Source organism: Homo sapiens, chromosome 8 (assembly GCF_000001405.40).
Source record: "Homo sapiens chromosome 8, GRCh38.p14 Primary Assembly".
NCBI classification, from domain to species: domain Eukaryota; kingdom Metazoa; phylum Chordata; class Mammalia; order Primates; family Hominidae; genus Homo; species Homo sapiens.
Genome location: NC_000008.11, coordinates 104,723,401 through 104,741,002, shown reverse-complemented (window position 1 = coordinate 104,741,002; position 17,602 = coordinate 104,723,401). Strand labels below are relative to the sequence as shown.

At 41.5% G+C, this 17,602-nt stretch overlaps 1 annotated feature.

Moving 5' to 3' along the window:
- Positions 9,631–9,831: a silencer, noted in NCBI's record as "peak7135 fragment used in MPRA reporter construct". NCBI's record gives its function as "represses an SCP1 promoter by STARR-seq MPRAs in K562 erythroleukemia cells {active_cell/tissue: K562}" and the evidence as "EXISTENCE:reporter gene assay evidence [ECO:0000049][PMID:32103011]".

Below are 17,602 nucleotides of genomic sequence, written 5' to 3'. Positions count from 1 at the left end.
TAAATATTTAAACGTTAGACCTAAAACCATAAAAACCCTAGAAGAAAACCTAGGCATTACCATTCAGGACATAGGCGTGGGCAAGGACTTCATGTCCAAAACACCAAAAGCAATGGCAACAAAAGACAAAATTGACAAATGGGATCTAATTAAACTAAAGAGCTTCTGCACAGCAAAAGAAACTACCATCAGAGTGAACAGGCAACCTACAAAATGGGAGAAAATTTTCGCAACCTACTCATCTGACAAAGGGCTAATATCCAGAATCTACAATGAACTCAAACAAATTTACAAGAAAAAAAAAACCCCATCAAAAAGTGGGCGAAGGACATGAACAGACACTTCTCAAAAGAAGACATTTATGCAGCCAAAAAACACATGAAGAAATGCTCATCATCACTGGCCATCAGAGAAATGCAAATCAAAACCACTATGAGATATCATCTCACACCAGTTAGAATGGCAATCATTAAAAAGTCAGGAAACAACAGGTGCTGGAGAGGATGTGGAGAAACAGGAACACTTTTACACTGTTGGTGGGACTGTAAACTAGTTCAACCATTGTGGAAGTCAGTGTGGTGATTCCTCAGGGATCTAGAACTAGAAATACCATTTGACCCAGCCATCCCATTACTGGGTATATACCCAAAGGACTATAAATCATGCTGCTATAAAGACACATGCACACGTATGTTTATTGCGGCACTATTCACAATAGCAAAGACTTGGAACCAACCCAAATGTCCAACAATGATAGACTGGATTAAGAAAATGTGGCACATATACGCCATGGAATACTATGCAGCCATAAAAAATGATGAGTTCATGTCCTTTGTAGGGACATGGATGAAATTGGAAACCATCATTCTCAGTAAACTATCGCAAGAACAAAAAACCAAACACCGCATATTCTCACTCATAGGTGGGAATTGAACAATGAGATCACATGGACACAGGAAGGGGAATATCACACTCTGGGGACTGTGGTGGGGTCGGGGGAGGGGGGAGGGATAGCATTGGGAGATATACCTAATGCTAGATGACACGTTAGTGGGTGCAGCGCACCAGCATGGCACATGTATACATATGTAACTAACCTGCACAATGTGCACATGTACCCTAAAACTTAGAGTATAATAAAAAAAAAAAAAAATTTAAAAAAAAAAAGAAAATTAAAAAGTAAAAAAAAAATAATAATAATAAAAATAAAAAAATAAAGTGTTGCAAAATAAAGGAATTGAAGTATTTTGGCCCCATTGTCTCTACTCTCTGCTTCTCTACTTCTCTATAGCCAGTCTATTGCTCCCCCAAAACTGGTCCAGCTGCTTTTTATTCCTTAAAGACATTATGCATATACCCCTCTCTGTCCTTTCATTGTATCCACTTGTCTTCCTGCCTAGCATATTTGCCCTTCTTTCTATTCCTCTAAGTCCTACTCATGCTCCAAGTAATCACCTCCTATCTTTATTCCTCTGCAAAGATTTCCCATCAACATACAATGCAAAATGCAGTGCTTGCACTTAATAGAGGTTCCATTCACTCAGACATGTTTCTTGTTCAACTAGTTATTCACTCAACAAATTTTTTTGAGTGTCTGCGATAGTCCAAGTTCCATAAGAGCTGAAATATTTTTGCCTAATTTGTTGACTACTATATGCTTAGTGCCTATTATAGTGGTTTATATTTAGTAGATGTTAATTGAATGAATGAATGCTGAGGATACAGTGGTGAACAAAAGACATAAAGTTCTTGTTAGTAATCATGATGTTGTCTTGTTGCTGATAACAATAGCACATTTTTCTTCTCCATGACTCCTAAATGATAATATCCTCCAAAGTTCTGTTTGAAATCTTTTTCTCTCCACCCCCTCTCCAGTGGCAATGCCATCCACTCCTGCAGCTTCAGACATCACCTCTGTGCAAATGAATTTCTCTGATTAAGGACAATTTTTTCTCTTTCCAGGGTAAACAATAAAGGTAAGTTTTTATTTCTGTCTACATGGGTAGACTTAAGCCAGAGGCATACAACCTGGGAATAAGGGTGAAATCTGGCCTTCAGGTCACCCACCTCCTATTCTCCCAAGACACAGAGGGGAAGAAAGAAGACCCAAAGGCAGAGGAGTAGAGTTAGAATGACCCTTTCTCACCACTCTGTGGACTCAACTCATGCTGGCAGAGAAAGAGTTTTTAAGTGAGATTTTGGATGGCTGGGAGAGGAAGGCTGTCCTGATATCCACAGCCATGAGACCTTAGCAGAGAAGAAAATTCCCTTCCATTAGCAAACCCCAGCAGGTACAACAATAGCAGCCCAGACAGGTATTTCATGCACATTAACTTAAAAATTTTCATACTATTTCAGTTAAGGATAAAGGAATTGAGACACACACAGTCTCAGTAATATCCCCAACATTTACAGAGTCTGTAAATAGCTGGGCTGGACCCAGCTGGAGCCAAAGCGAAAGTTTTAACCACTACACCACATCATCCTTGTATGAAGCAAAACGCTGATGCTTCCAGGCATGAGTTCATCCCAGTCACAACTTAGGAAAACAGCCATTAGAAGCATATACAGTCATGTGCTGCATAACGACATTTGTCAATGATGGACGACTGCATATACCACAGTGGTACCATAAGATTATAATGAAATTGGCAATTTCTATCACCTAGTGACATCTTGATGATCCTGTCCCTATGTTGGCCTAGGATAATGTATAGGTTTGTGTCCTAGTTTTTAACTAAAATGTTTAAAACCTTTTTTAAAGTTTTTAAAAATTAAAAATAGAAAAAAGTGGCTGGGCACAGTGGCTCACACTGTAATCCCAGCACTTTGAGAGGCCAAGGCGGGCAGATTACCTGAGGTCAAGAGTTCAAGACCAGCCTGACCAACACGGTGAAACCCCATCTGTACTAAAAATACAAAATTAGCCGGGCATGGTGGCCCATGCCTGTAACCCCAGCTACTTTGGAGGCTGAGGCAGGAGAATTGCTTGAACCTGGGAGGTGGCGGCTGCAGTGAGCTGAGATCGCGCCACTGCAGTCCAGCCTGGGCAACAAGAGCGAAACTCCATCTCAAAGAAAAAAAAAAATAAATAAAAGAAAAGAAAAAGAAAAAAAGTATAGAATAAGGATATAAATAAAAACTATTTTTATGGCTATACAATGTGTTTTTGTTTTAAGCTGTTATTACAAAAGAGTCAAAAAGTTTAAAGATTTTTTAAAGTTTATAAAGTAAAAAGTTATAGTAAACTAAGGTTAGTTCATTATTAAAGAAAGAAAAATATTTTTCTATAAACTAGTGTAGCCTAAATGTATAGTATTCATAAAGTTTATAGTAGTATATAGTAATGTCGTAGGACTTCACATTCACTCACCACTCACTCACTGCCTCACACAGAGCAACTTCCAGTTCTGCGATCTCCACTCATGGTAAGTGCCCTATACATGTGTACCGTTATATACCACTTTTGTGTTTTATATACTGTATTTTTACTATACCTTTTCTATGTTTAGATACACAAATACTTAGCATGATGTTACACTTGCCTACAGTATCCATCCAGTACAGCTGGAGTATAGGACTCCAACACTTACCCAAAGATAGCTGTTGGGTCAGGGTTTCTGCACCATAATCGCTTCTGTGGTCACCAGGAGGATGTTACAGGACCCCACCACTTACCCAAAGTTAACATTTGGATTGGGAGTTTCCTCCTTATAGTCCCTTCTGTGGTCAACAGAAAGATACTACAGGAAAGGGTCCCCAATCCAGACCCCAAGAGAGGGTTCTTGGATCTCGTACAAGAAAGAATTCAAGGCAAGTCTGCAGTGCAAAGTGAAAGCAAGCTTATTAAGAAGTAAAAGATGCCAGGCACGGTGGCTCACATCTGTAATCCCAGCACTTTGGGAGGCTGAGGCAGGCAGATCATGAGGTCAAGAGATTGAGACCATCCTGGCCAACATGGTGAAACCCTGTCTCTACTAAAAATACAAAAATTAGCTGGGTATAGTGGCCCACGCCTGTAGTCCCAGCTACTCAGGAGGCTGAGGCAGGAGAATCGCTTGAACCTGGGAGGCAGAGGTTGCAATGAGCCAAGATCGCACCACTGCACTCCAGCCTGGTGACAGAGCAAGATTCTGTCTCAAAAAAAAAAGAAAAGAAAGTAAAGGAATAGAAGAATGGCTACTCCATAGACAGAGCAGCCCCAAGGGCTGCTGATTGCCCATTTTTATGGTTATTTCCTGATGATATGCTAAACAAGGGGTACATTATTCATGCCTCCCCTTTTTAGACCATATAGGGTAACTTCCTGGCATTGCCATGGCATTCATAAACTGTCATGGCACTGGTGGGAGTGTAGCAGCGAGGATGACCAGAAGTTACTTTCATGGCCATTTTGGTTTTGGTAGGTTTTGTCCTTTACTGCAAACTGTTTTATCAGCAAGGTCTTTATGACCTGTATTTTGTGCTGACCTCCTGTCTCATCCTGTTACTTTAGAATGCCTTAACCATCTGGGAATGCAGCCCAGTAGGTTTCAGCCTCATTTTACCCAGCTCCTATTTAAGATGGAGTTGCTCTAGTTCACATGCCTCTGACAGTCGGTTACACCATATAGCATAGGTGTATAGTAGGCTGTACCATATAGGTTTGGTTAAGTTCACTGTGATGTTTGCACAATGACAAAATCATCAAATGATGCATTTTTCAATGTATCCCCATCATTAAGCAATGCATGACTGATGTATTTCTAATCCTGATCTCTTTCCTAACTACCAGACCATGTTTTCAACTAGGTTCTAAAAATATTTTACCAGATCATCTCACCAGCATATTTAATCGAAAATGTCTAAAGATAAAATTATAGCCATTTCTCTTCCTGAATTTTCTGTCCTGTTAATATTATTCCTACTCTTTCAGGCACGCTGTCTGGAAACATTAACATCTCCATTTATCCCTCCCACTCCTATTCACTCTACCCCAAATTAATTGTCACATCCTATAGATTTCACTTATATAGTATCTTTAAAATATGACCCCTCAATTCAATTGCCACAGCTTCAGCCCTGATTTCTACCCTTCGCTGATAATAGCTATTAACTTTCCTAATATTTATCCTGCATCACTCTCTCTCAAAGCTATCCAGAACACCTCTATTATATTAGTCTTCCTGGAGCACAATTCTAATAACATTGCTACCCTATTCAATAATCAAACCTTCAATGACACCCCTCACCTCCTACAATTGCTTATCAAATTACATGCATTCCCTTGTCTGCCATTTATCTCTAGGACACCTTTCCAAGCCTATTCTCCTGCCGGTCCCCTCCACAAACCCAATGTCTTGGCCAGAACACATTGTATGTATATTTTACCATGTCTTTGTTCAAATACTCTCACCCTATCTTCTACCTTTTGAAGTTTTCCTCATCCTTCCAGGTCCACATCAAAGGAAACTTCCTGCACTGTCTTCCCTGAGCACCCCCATGTGAATGCTCTCCCTCACCTGAACTCCCGCGTTTCGTTTCTCATCTTTGACCTCTATTCTGAACTGCTCTTCCTGCTCCCTCTCATAGATACTCCATCTGAGTATCTATGTCACTCTTCAAAAATGCAAATCAACCCTGTCCATATCCTTCACTCACTCACACACACACACACACACACCCCTCTATTTATACAACTTTCTCATGTTTTAATCTTTCAGGGGTTACAGGATCACAGAAGACAGAATGGGCAACAAGAAGTGTATGTCACTCTGGACAGATTTCTAAAGTTTCTTATTCTACTGCCAATCAATCAAATTACTTTTTTGTTTCTACCACTTTCAGAAATGGTTGTGCATCCACCCGTCCCATACACAATCAGCAGCACCAGTGTATTTATGTCATTCCTGTGCTGAGAAACCTCAATAATTCCCCCTCACTTCCATTTAATTCCCAATTTCCAGTGTGTTTCCAGTCCTCTACTGCTTCCCTATCTGTCTCATGTTGTGCTGTTCCCAATTCAATGCTTTCCACTAAGACTTTCCTCTGAAACTGTTCTGGCCTTCTCTTCTATCTGAAATGTCTTTGTCATGGTCACCTGAGGTGTAGGTGAACTCCCAATCCTCTAACACCCCTATATCTCCTGTTCGAACCCCTTTTATGACACATACCACATACTACTATGTACCCTAGATTTTGTGATAAATGTGTTATTCCATTACTAAGTTGTAAGTTCTTACATTATATAACCAGACTGCCCTGTCTCCCCAGTATGATTTCTTTTTTTTTTTTTTTTTTTTGAGATGGAGTTCGCTCTTGTCATCCAGGCTGAGTGCAATGGCGCAATCTCGGCTCACCGCAACCGCCACCTCCCAGGTTCAAGTGATTCTCCTGCCTCAGCCTCCTGAGTAGCTGGGATTACAGGCATGCACCACCATGCCCAGCTAATTTTGTATTTTTAGTAGAGATGGGGTTTCTCCATGTTGGTCAGGCTGGTCTCGAACTCTTGACCTCAGGTGATCCACCCACCTCAGCCTCCCAAAGTGCTGGGATTACAGGCATGAGCCACCACGCCCGGACACAGTATGGTTAATTTTCTATGTCAAATTGGCTAGGCTTTGGATGCCCAGCTGTTTGGTTAAATACTAGTTTAGATGTTACTGTGAAGGCAGACATAATTAACATTTTTTAGATATAGTTAACATTTACAATCAGTTACATTTAATTAAAGCAGATCACTCTTCATTATGCAGGTAGGCCTCAGCCAATCAACTAAAGGCCATAAGAGCAAAAACTGAGATTTCCCAGGGAAGAAGAAATTCTGCCTCAAAATTGTAACATAGAAATCCTGCCTGCGTTCCAGTCTGCTAGCCTGCCCTACAGATTTGGGACTTCTTAGCCCCAACAGTCATGTGAGCTAATTCCTTTCCTTTAACTAACTCTCTCCATCGATTGATTGATGGATAGATAGATGCATTGGTTCTGTTTCATGGAGCACATAATTAGGTCACATTTAATTTTGTTTTAAAATTAACCAATTCCACTTATCTCAATTATGTATGTCTTTCCTCGATACAAAGACACACCCGCACCCCTTACCCAACCCCTAGGCCACAGAATAAGTCAAGAATTCCAGCGGGCTTGGAAATGGTGCCTATCTTCTGAAATGCTCCATTCTCTGCATCATGGGGTCTCTGTGAAAACAGGCTCTTAACCAGGTACTCCAGCGATCCTGAGCAGCCTCTGCTCTCTCCCAGTCACGCTCTGGTGGTAAGGAACCTGCTGCTGTGGCAGTACCTCCTGGGGTACAGGGAAGGGCTGGAATCGATCTCTCATAGCACACCATTGTCAGTCAGAGCCTCAAAACCATAATCCATTGTCTGCCAAGAGGTGTTCTCATGCCACCCACACCCTGTGTCTTCTTCTAATGACGCTGCTGGCCCTGGCCACCACTCTAGACTGCCCTTCTCCTTAAAGTGAGTTTCCTCTTGAGGTCTTCATTTATAAACAGCTGTCTTCAATCACGATCACTTTAATCCATCAAATATGTTATAGAACATGGAACCTCAAACAGAAAAGTGCCAGTTCTCTTCCACCAAGAACCTTTCTTATTTGCCTCACTTCTACATCACTAAAAGATACCACCAAAGTTGGTTATTTCCAAACAAAGAGGTGAGCTCCAAAATATATTAAGGCTTCAACCTCTAGTACTAGAAGCCACCAATAACTTCATAAAGGCAGATTTTCAGTTTGATTACCATGTATGATACTTCCTCGGTTACTTCTCAGGAAATAGATCTTAAATAAATCAGTGCCTTGACAAACCAGTACCTCTTTGCCTCAAATATCCTGTCTTTTCCTCTCACTTTGAGAGAAATAATATCAGGAATTTCTCCTATGTTTGAGGATTGTATTTTATGGTATTTATGTCTAATAAAACTAAGTTGCCATCTCACATTGGACCTGTAGATGTTGAGTTGTATGTGTTCAAGGCCTTTTGAAAACTAGGCTTGGAAATCCATACTTAACTTGATAAACAATGGGGAGCCAATGAACCTGAGTACTTAATTTCAAAGTAATAAAAGACTAACTCTCTGCTTTATCAAGACTACAAATTCAGCATATTATATACGGAGGATTTTTTAGAGCAAGGGATAGCTCTGTTAATTTTTTTTTTCTTTTACAAGATGCTGCTAGTAAGCCTTTTATGCCTGCAAGGCAGGATCAGGGTTTCTATAAACTCCTGTAAAAAACTGGTCCAGATTGGAGAATTTTCAAATGTTTCTCGTTTTTGCAAATCACATTTCAAAAGAGAAAGCATTTGCATATTCAAGGTAAAATCCCATGAAAAGATGCCTCATGCCCAGTTTTATAGAGTAATTATTTCTACATTTTTGAACTGGCTCCACCTTCAAAATATGTCAGCTCAAACCACACAATAGACATAGATATTAATTAGCAGGCTAATTATCCAGACTTCTTTAGACTAATCAAGTAATGAAACAGCTTCAGTCTGTTGGATTTTTCTTGAACAACTAACAGTCAAACATGAACTTGTTATGACTAGTAAACTGCACAAACACAATTTGAGACTGAGAACAAGATTGTGCGTTCCCTGGATTCAGGCCTTTTCTCACAAAACCAGATCCACAGCCAACTCTGCCTCCAAAGATACTCTGAAGAAAGGTTTTCTGTCTCCTTATAGCAGAAAATCGATACTGCACACTGGAGGGGAAGATGGAGAGTTAAAATGTCCTCTTCACACGAGTGAGTAAACACCACCTCCGTGCTTGGGATGGCGCAGCACAGAACTGCAGGCTGTAAGACAGGCTCCAAATAAAACCCTTCCCCAGCACAGAACACTCAGCCCCAGAGCTGGCATAGCGGAGCCCTTCACCTCATATAATTTCACTTCTGCGCAACTGCAGATCTGTGTGCGCCTGCAAAATTACATAATTTGCCATTTACCCAGCTGTTATTCCAGCAAACCTATTGTTTGCACACCGATTTGCCTGCCTGCCTCATAAATCCACAGGAAGGGAGGAGACAGAGAGGGAAAGTTTTCAGCATCACACTGTGTTCTCCGTGTCTCCTTCATCTCAAGCTGCCTGCCCCTCCCACATTTAGAGAAAATCACAGGTCTCAAAGCTTCAATGAATAGAAGCTTTGCGTGGGTCCTCCTCTCCCCAGTCTTCACCACTTTCTGAAAAAAGATGCATATTTTTCACATCCTTTGTATCTTAACCTGGTTACATCTCCCTCTCCTCAGGTCTGAAACAAAGCTTCCTTTCCTCTTGGCTTCTCCTTCGCTGCTCTTACATTTTTCCAGAGATGTCCTGGTATTTCTAGTTTCTCCCCACATTGAGTCAGATCTGAGTACGGGTTGCAGAAAGCATCTACCGTCATTACCAAATACTAAAGGTAGGCAGGCTCTGCCTACCTTTAGTATTTGAAAAAGACAGCTTTTCACAGCCCACATCCTCAGGCTAGTATTTTTCCGCTACAATGATGATAAAAGATAAGGCATTGTTCAAATGTTCTGATGCTGAGAACAGTCTAAAAGCAGGGCTTTGAACATATAAAACATTGCTAGTTCCCAGGGACAAAATTCACATCTTTTTTGTGTGTCACCACAGAGCTCTTCAACACCCCTGTGGAATGGAGCCCTAATTACTCATGACACTCCAGAGGAGCTGTGAGAAGCACAGAAGCAAGCTGGTGCATGATGATGAGGAACTGGGGTACCATGGCCTGAGTGAGTCAGAAGTCAAGAGAAGCTGCTGCAGCCTTTCCTCACATAAACTACCCCCAGCTCTGCTTACGGGGAGCCAGTTACTTTTTCCTATTGATCTTTTCACTGTTCATTACATCACAATGTACAATAATTTCTGAACTATTAATCTTCCTAATATCAAACTATGCATGTGCTATTTGGGTTATAGTACAGAAAGGGAAATGTCTATTATATGGGCTTATACAATAGACATGTTTTAGGAAATGTGAATGAGTGATATTTCATAAATCAAATCAAAGCACTTGGGAGCTTTATGATTTGAAGACATTTTACTGTATACCTGCTTATAAAATATATAATGTTTCTGGTAAATATGGTTTTACTCATGCATTTTTTCAAGTAGGAACATATTTTCTCACTTAAAGAAAATGGGCATAGTAGTATTATTGAATAGAATTATTATTGAATAGAAAATTGTGAAAATTTTCTTTAGATTTCTGTCCAATCTATGTCAGAGCCTCACTAAGGCCCGATTTTGAATAATCTACAGCCAAATTCTGGAATACTCTGAGGCATAACTTCTGTAACCCACACAAGACTTTTAACAAAAAAAAACTCTATTCAAGAAAAGGCAGCAAGCCTGCATCAGATTAGAGCATAATATTACACAGCCATTCTTTGCAAGACTGTTGCCTCTTGCCCAGAACTGCACCATTTCTTACAGCAAAAATATCAGTATGAGATGATATTGATACCTGAGATACCTGATACTCTTTTCAACCTGATCACCTGGCAATCCTTCTCTCTCTCTCTCTCTCTCTCTCTCTCTCTCTCACATATATCCATATTTCACTTTAATAATGAGTTTCTACATTTAGGGCTTCCTAAAAAATGAAAGAGGTTTACTTTTGAAATGGAAATTTTTTCATAGTGAAAATATATATTTAGGTACAATCTGGATGAGAACTAATTAGGTATGCTGGAAGCACATTAGAGATTGAAATTTGTATTAATGAACCTATGATTTGTGTATGCACATGTGCACACACGTGTTTTAATTTTACTGCAATACTCTTAACATAAAAAATTTCCATTCGTGACATTTAGTACATTTGCAATGTTCTGCAACCATCACCATTATCTAGTTCCAGAAGGTTTTATCACCCTAGAAGGAAACCTGTAGCCATTAAGCAGCAACTTCTTATCCTCCCCACTCCAACCTCCATCTCCTGGCAACTACTAACCTGTCTTCTGTCTCTGTGGATTTGCCTATTCTGGATATTTCCTGTAAATGGAATCGTACAATGTGGTCTTTTGTATCTGGCTTCATTGACTTAGCATTGCCAACGCTTCCAGGTTCAAATCCCCTCTAGTGAATTGCTTTGAGGTCCATCTTTCATTTCCATCCCTTCTCTTCCCTTCTCAGGCCCTCACTGCATTATTTGCATTCTGTTAACTGTGAAAGCACCGGTCCTACAGCCATCCACTGTAGGACTCCTCAGGGGCCCCACTGACAGGCCTTATGCCACCACATTTCAGGCCTGACTCTGGGCTGCCCGTGGAAGTGAAAGAACAGCAAATTGCCCTCAAAATTCTCCAAGATTTTCATATTTTAAAATAAAATGTGAGAGGCACTTTTTCCCTTCCTGACAAATGTAAGTGATAATTAACTGGTAACAGAAAATCTCCCCTGAAGTGTCACAATGTGCTTGTACTTAACAGAGCCACCCTTTATATCTGCACCACAAATTGGCTCCAAGATGAACAAAAGAGCTGGCATTGCTCACCTCAGCCTAGGTGTTCATCCGTACACACAGTACGTATTGCACCCGCATTTGCTTTTTGTTAACAGAAGTAGCTTAAGGAAGAGCAGACCGTGGTGTGGCAGAGAGTACTGGACTCCACATGAGAAGATATTGCTGCTATTTATTATTACTATTTTTTTTTTTTTTTTTTTTGAGACAGAGTCTTGCTCTGTCGCCCAGGCTGGAGTGCAGTGGCGCGATCTTGGCTCACTGCAAGCTCCACCTCCTGCGTTCACACCATTCACCTGCCTCAGCCTCCCAAGTAGCTGGGACTACAGGCGCCTGCCACCACACCTGGCTAATTTTTTGTATTTTTAGTAGAGACAGGGTTTCACTGTATTATCCAGGGTGGTCTCGATCTCCTGACCTCGTGATCCGCCCGCCTCGGCCTCCCAAAGTGCTGGGATTACAGGCATGAGCCACCGTGCCCAGCTGACTGTTGCCATTTATTATGGATGTAACCATGGGCAAGTCAGGGAGGAATCTGAGCCTTTAAAAGGAGGGTCAGGTTGGGCACGGTGCTCATGCCTGTAATCCCAGCATTTTGGGAGGCCGAGGCAGGCAGATCACCTGAGGTGAGGAGTTTGAGACCAGCCTGGCCAACATGGTGAAACCCTGTATCTATTAAAAATACAAAATTAGCTGGGTGTGGTGGTACGCACCTGTAATCCCAGCTACTTGGGAGGCTGAGGCAGGAGAATCACTTGAACCCAGGAGGCGGAAATTGCAGTGAGCCAAGATCATGCCATTGCACTCCAGCCTAGACAAAAAGAATGAAACTCCATCACAAAAAAGTGAATAAAAATAAATAAAAGGAGGGTCACTTTAAGTCGTGGCTAACCTTACCAGGTCGTTACCAAGATAGAAGCCAAGAAAACATATGCAAAACCTCTTTGTAAACCATGACCATATTCCCCAAATGTGTCATATTACAGACTAAATCATGTCTCCTCAAAATTCATATATTGAAGCCCTTACCCCCAATATGACGGCATTTGGAGAAAGGGCCTGTAAGGAGGTGATCAGTGTTAAATGAGGTTATAAGGATGTGGCCCTCATCCAACAGGACTGGTGTCCTTATAAGAAGGATGCCTGCCCTTTCCATGTTTTCTGCCCCTCCTCATCCGGAAAAGGTTCAGGTGTCCCTTCTTCCAGGAAGCCTTCGGTGATCCCCCTGAACTTGGTTGGAATTCCTCCTTTGGCATCTAGGGTACTATTATTAATCTTGTTCCACAGGTAGCACATTGCAGTGTAATAATCTGATAATAGTTTGACCTCTACCTCCTTTCCTCCAGACATGACCCTCTCCCGGGCCAGGACCACTTGACCTGCATCTCAGCCTCCCCCAGGTGCAGCCAAGACCTGGCAATAAAAGGCCCTTCGTGAATTGTTTGGGCAGAATTCCTAGAAGACTACAATGGGATGAAAGTAGATAGTTTAACATTTTTAACAGCTAAAGATCATGATTTTCTTTTCAACCACTTTAGTCAGGTATTGTCAGATGTTAGTCTGATGCTGGAGCTGGAAAAATGCAGGGAATGTTCTGGTGTAGCCCTCTTATTTGGCCATAGAGGACACTGAAGTCCAGAGAGGAAATGGACACGGATGTTCATGGATACTCATAGCATCACACAAAGTCCCAGCAGGAAAGAGGAAGCATACTTGAATATGATAATTCCAGAAGGGTGTGTTTGTTTCTGCAAAAGCACTATTTAGCAAAGCAGGGCTGAGGTATAGGGGAACCAGAAGAGATAATTCGAGAACCTGAAGTAGAGCTGTTAACCGTCCTAGGGCTAGGATGACCAACTTATGCCAGTTTGCCCGGGACTTCCAGTTTATTTATTTATTCATTTTTTAGAGACAGGGTTTCACTCTATCGCTGAGGCTGGAGTGCAGCAGCACAATCGTAGCTCACTGTAGCCTCGGACTCCTAGGCTCAAGCAATCCTCCCACCTCAGCCTCCTGAGTAGCTAGGACTACAGGCATATGCCACCATCACCAGCTACTTATTATTTAAAAAAAAAAATTTTGTAGAGATGGTGGTCTCACTCTTTCGCCCAGGCAGGTCTTGAACTACTGGTCTGAAGTGATCCTCCCACCTCAGCCTCCCAAAGTGCTAGGATTACAGATGTGAGCCACTACACCTGGCTGACTTCCCAGTTTTAAAACTCAAAGTCCTAGGTCCTGGGAATAACTTTAGTTCCAGCAAACCAAGATAACTGATCACCCTACCTGGGGCTGAGGTAGGAAGGAAGGGGGATGGTTATTAAAACCTGAAAGGAAAGACAGTCCCCTTAAAGGAAGCAGTGATCTTCAGATAAGGCCACATTTAACCAAAGGGACCTCACAGACAGGAAGTCAGAGGAAATAGAAACTTCTGCTTCCTCCTTCTAAACTCCTACCAAAGTTCCACATAGGAACCCCCGCCCACCGCCCCTCCATGAGCCAAAGACCACCAGAAGCCTGGTCCACAGAGGACAGAAAAGGGTGGAGGGTGCACCTGGAGCAGTAAACAGAGCATCTAGCCAGCCACAGAAACACAGAAGAGTCCAGGTGAAGATGCCCAACTTCCTGCCCAGCACAGACCTCACTAGTCATATTGCAAGTAACAAGGTGGTGTTACTCAAATCCTCAAATCCTCCCCTAGATTTCCAAGCATTTCTAACAAAAAGGGGCTGGGGGAGAAGAGTGCTTTTAAGTTCTTCTGCTTACCTCTGGCTCCCATCTCTTCTCTACACAACACCTTGGCACCCCATGGGTGCTATCTTGGCCTGCAACACCTAAGTCCAGATGTAAGATGCAGTCCCTTCCTCAAATTCCACAAAAAATTCCACTCACAGAAGGCAATTTTTGTGTTTATCAGATCATATTGGAGATTTGAAGGGGGATCAAAGAAGAGTTCGTATGGCAAAGAACTTCAAATTGAAAAAGACATTCGTGTGCTTGGAAGTCCTCAGCCCCTCCACAACCCAAATGCTTCATGGACTATCTCTTGCTCTGTAGACCTCCCCCAACCCAACACACATACCATGTCTTCATACCTCTCCTCTACTTCTATCTCTCCTTTCATACCCTCCTTCAACACAACCAAAAATAAATTTTTTTTTTTTTTTTTTTTGAGACAGAGTCTCATTCTGTCACCAGGCCGGAGTGCAGTGGCGCGATCTCGGCTCACTGCAACCTCCACCTCCCAGATTCAAGCAATTCTCCTGCCTCAGCCTCTGGAGAAGCTGGGACTACAGGCATGTGCTACCACGCCCAGCTAATTTTTATATTTTTAGTAGACACGGGGTTTCACCATGTTGGCCAGGATGGTCTCAATCTCTTGACCTTGTGATCCGCCTGCCTCCACCTCCCAAAGTGCTAGGATTACAGGCGCCAGCCACCGCGCCCAGCCTAAAATACCTCTTATGCTGAGCAGTTTGCCGTTTCCTTCTGGGTTTCTGCAGGGCCAGTCAACACCCAAGCCTTGGAGTCTCACCGTCTTCCCCAAGAGACATCCTAGAAGGCTTTGTCTACCAGAGGCAGCTCCCTCTCTGCAATGAATTCTGCTACCAGCTGTTAGTTGAGAAGTTTTTCACCTCCTGTTGTACATTATTCCAGAGAAAGCAGTTGATTGTGGTATAATCCTTTGAGAAGTTTATTAATCAACTTGCATAAAAGCCTGTATCACTGGCTTTCTTGTCTCGTGGAATTCAGTTCCTCCTCTGAACATGTCACAGTGCATTACCCTGCTCAGAGTTAGCATATTTGAACATCTTGTAGTTGCTCAAGTAGCACAGCCATGGCATATTGAGCTCATCTTTTTCTTTCAAAGGCTGATTCCCGCAGCTTAGGCTCTCAGCTCTTTAAAATTACATTGAGATGAATCTTGCTGCATACAAGCTGTCAGTCTAAATGTAATTTTGGTTTTCAAATCCTGTAAGGTCCTGTATCTTAAACAGTTATATTCAAAATGCCATCTACATGTCTGAGCCTTTTACCAACTTTACATTTGTCCTTAATTTAAGTTCAGTTGTGAACAAAAGGCAAAGTCTCTTCAAAAATGTTCCGAATGTTATGAAGAGGCTTTACTTCAAATACTGCTGGCCTTGATGTAGAAAACCAAAGGAAAGTGGATGAACCTGGCTCAGAGAGCCGGGGAACTGCTGCCTGTTTATGTTGTTTCTTTTGAAGATAATAAGAGAATGATCCCTACGGTACTCACTAACAACTTGACTTCAAAGTAGAGAAGGATCTAAGGGAGACTCCAGAGTTAAAGGGCGGGGGACAAATTAAATTGTTATTATGTTATTTAAATCATAGAGTATGGAATTTCAGAGCTTCTTCATTGTTTTGCCTTAATCCAGACTTAAATGTTATACAGATACTTGCATCTTAGGACCTATTCTTTTGCTTTTACTGTTTTATTTGCTGGATTTGGTAAATTTTAAAGATTCTTTTGAATTAAGCATAATTTGAAATTATATCTCTTCAAATCCTATTATCTATATATTTTATTATCCATTTGTAGAAGTACTTTGTAAGTATTTAATTTTATAAACTATATATACAGTTAGGCATAAAGAAAGAAGACCCTGCTGAGGTCAAAAGCCTGAACCTTTAGCATTTGCTCCATTAGGAAGTGTGTAAATATTGGTGATGGAGCTTTAGTTGCTATTGCTACTTTTAGCTGCAGGTTATAGAATCACCACTGGCAATAGCTACCATTAAAAAAAAAATGTTCTTAGTGTTTAAACCCCTCTTAGTTGGGTTTCCTATTATGCCAAGATCTCTACATCTTGGCAGATATGCAGAATTGGGATCTCTGCAATTCTCTTGAGGAAAGACCTTTCCCTCATGGTCACAAGAGGGCTGCCACAGTGTCAGCCATCTCACCTGGCCATAGTCAGAAGTAGGAAACAGGTAAGTAGTCAGGGAAGTTAGAGAGCACTATCCTTGTACGCTTTTTTCATCAATGAGAAAATATCTTTCCCAGAACCTCCCCAAACCCGGTAAACTTCCTTTATCATCTCATTGGCCTGAACTAGGTCACATAGAAATGCCTAGTTTTAAGAGAGGCTGGGAAAGTGGGTAATTTTATCAGCCTGTATACTGTATAGTGGCAAGCAGACCAGGGAGGAGGTTGTTAGGCAAAGCTGGGACAGTGGCTGTTCCTGAAAACCTCACGTGACCAAATGAGACCATTCATGGGAAAATTATCTAGAGCTACTGTATTTAAACTCATATCAGAGGCTCATGACTCTCTAATAATATATCAAACCAAGAACTATCCTGCATAATTTAAGTGATGACTATAGGGAAAACCTTCCCATAAGGAAATAATTCAGAAAACAGGATATAGGAGAAGATTCCAAAGAGCCTAACATTGTCAACTAAATGATATCCCAGCCTTCCAGCATCCAGGACGCCCCTTACTAATAAATCACAAGCGGAGCAGTAAGAAGCAGTTCTTTCACTAAATCATAACATGCCCTGAATTAAGAATAGAGTGTCCTGATGAATTTAAATTGGAAAACAAACCGATAAAGGTCTGAGAATCTCTTTCCAGACCTCTCCCTGCCCTCCCAGTGGCTACTCCTGAGTCCACTCCCTGAGCAGAAGACCAGCAGGCTTTTATGCATAAAGCAGAATTAGTCAATGCAGAAATTAAGCTACAGCTTAACAATAAGCATTTGGTGACTCGTGGAGGCACGCTTCATGAGAGAAATGTCACGGACTTGGCAGATATAAATGTCTGAAAGAAAACATTCCAATAGAATGTACTGAAACACACAAAATCCAAGCAACAAGCCAGGCTTTCTGGAGGAATCCAAGCATATCCAGGGGTTGCTGGGAAAATCAGACAGATTAAAAAAATATATAATACTTAAAATAGAATTCCAAATTAATGCCTCCTCATTTCTGTATGGAAATGATACTTCTGGGGTTAAAGCTACCGTGCTAAGCAAATTTAGATTCGGTATTCATTAAATCCTTTTTGACTGAATGGTGATAATTTTTTTTTCCTACAAACAAATATCCATCAGCTTCTCTACTTGCTCATCCTGATCAGAGATAAATCCAATCAAATCCAGGTGTA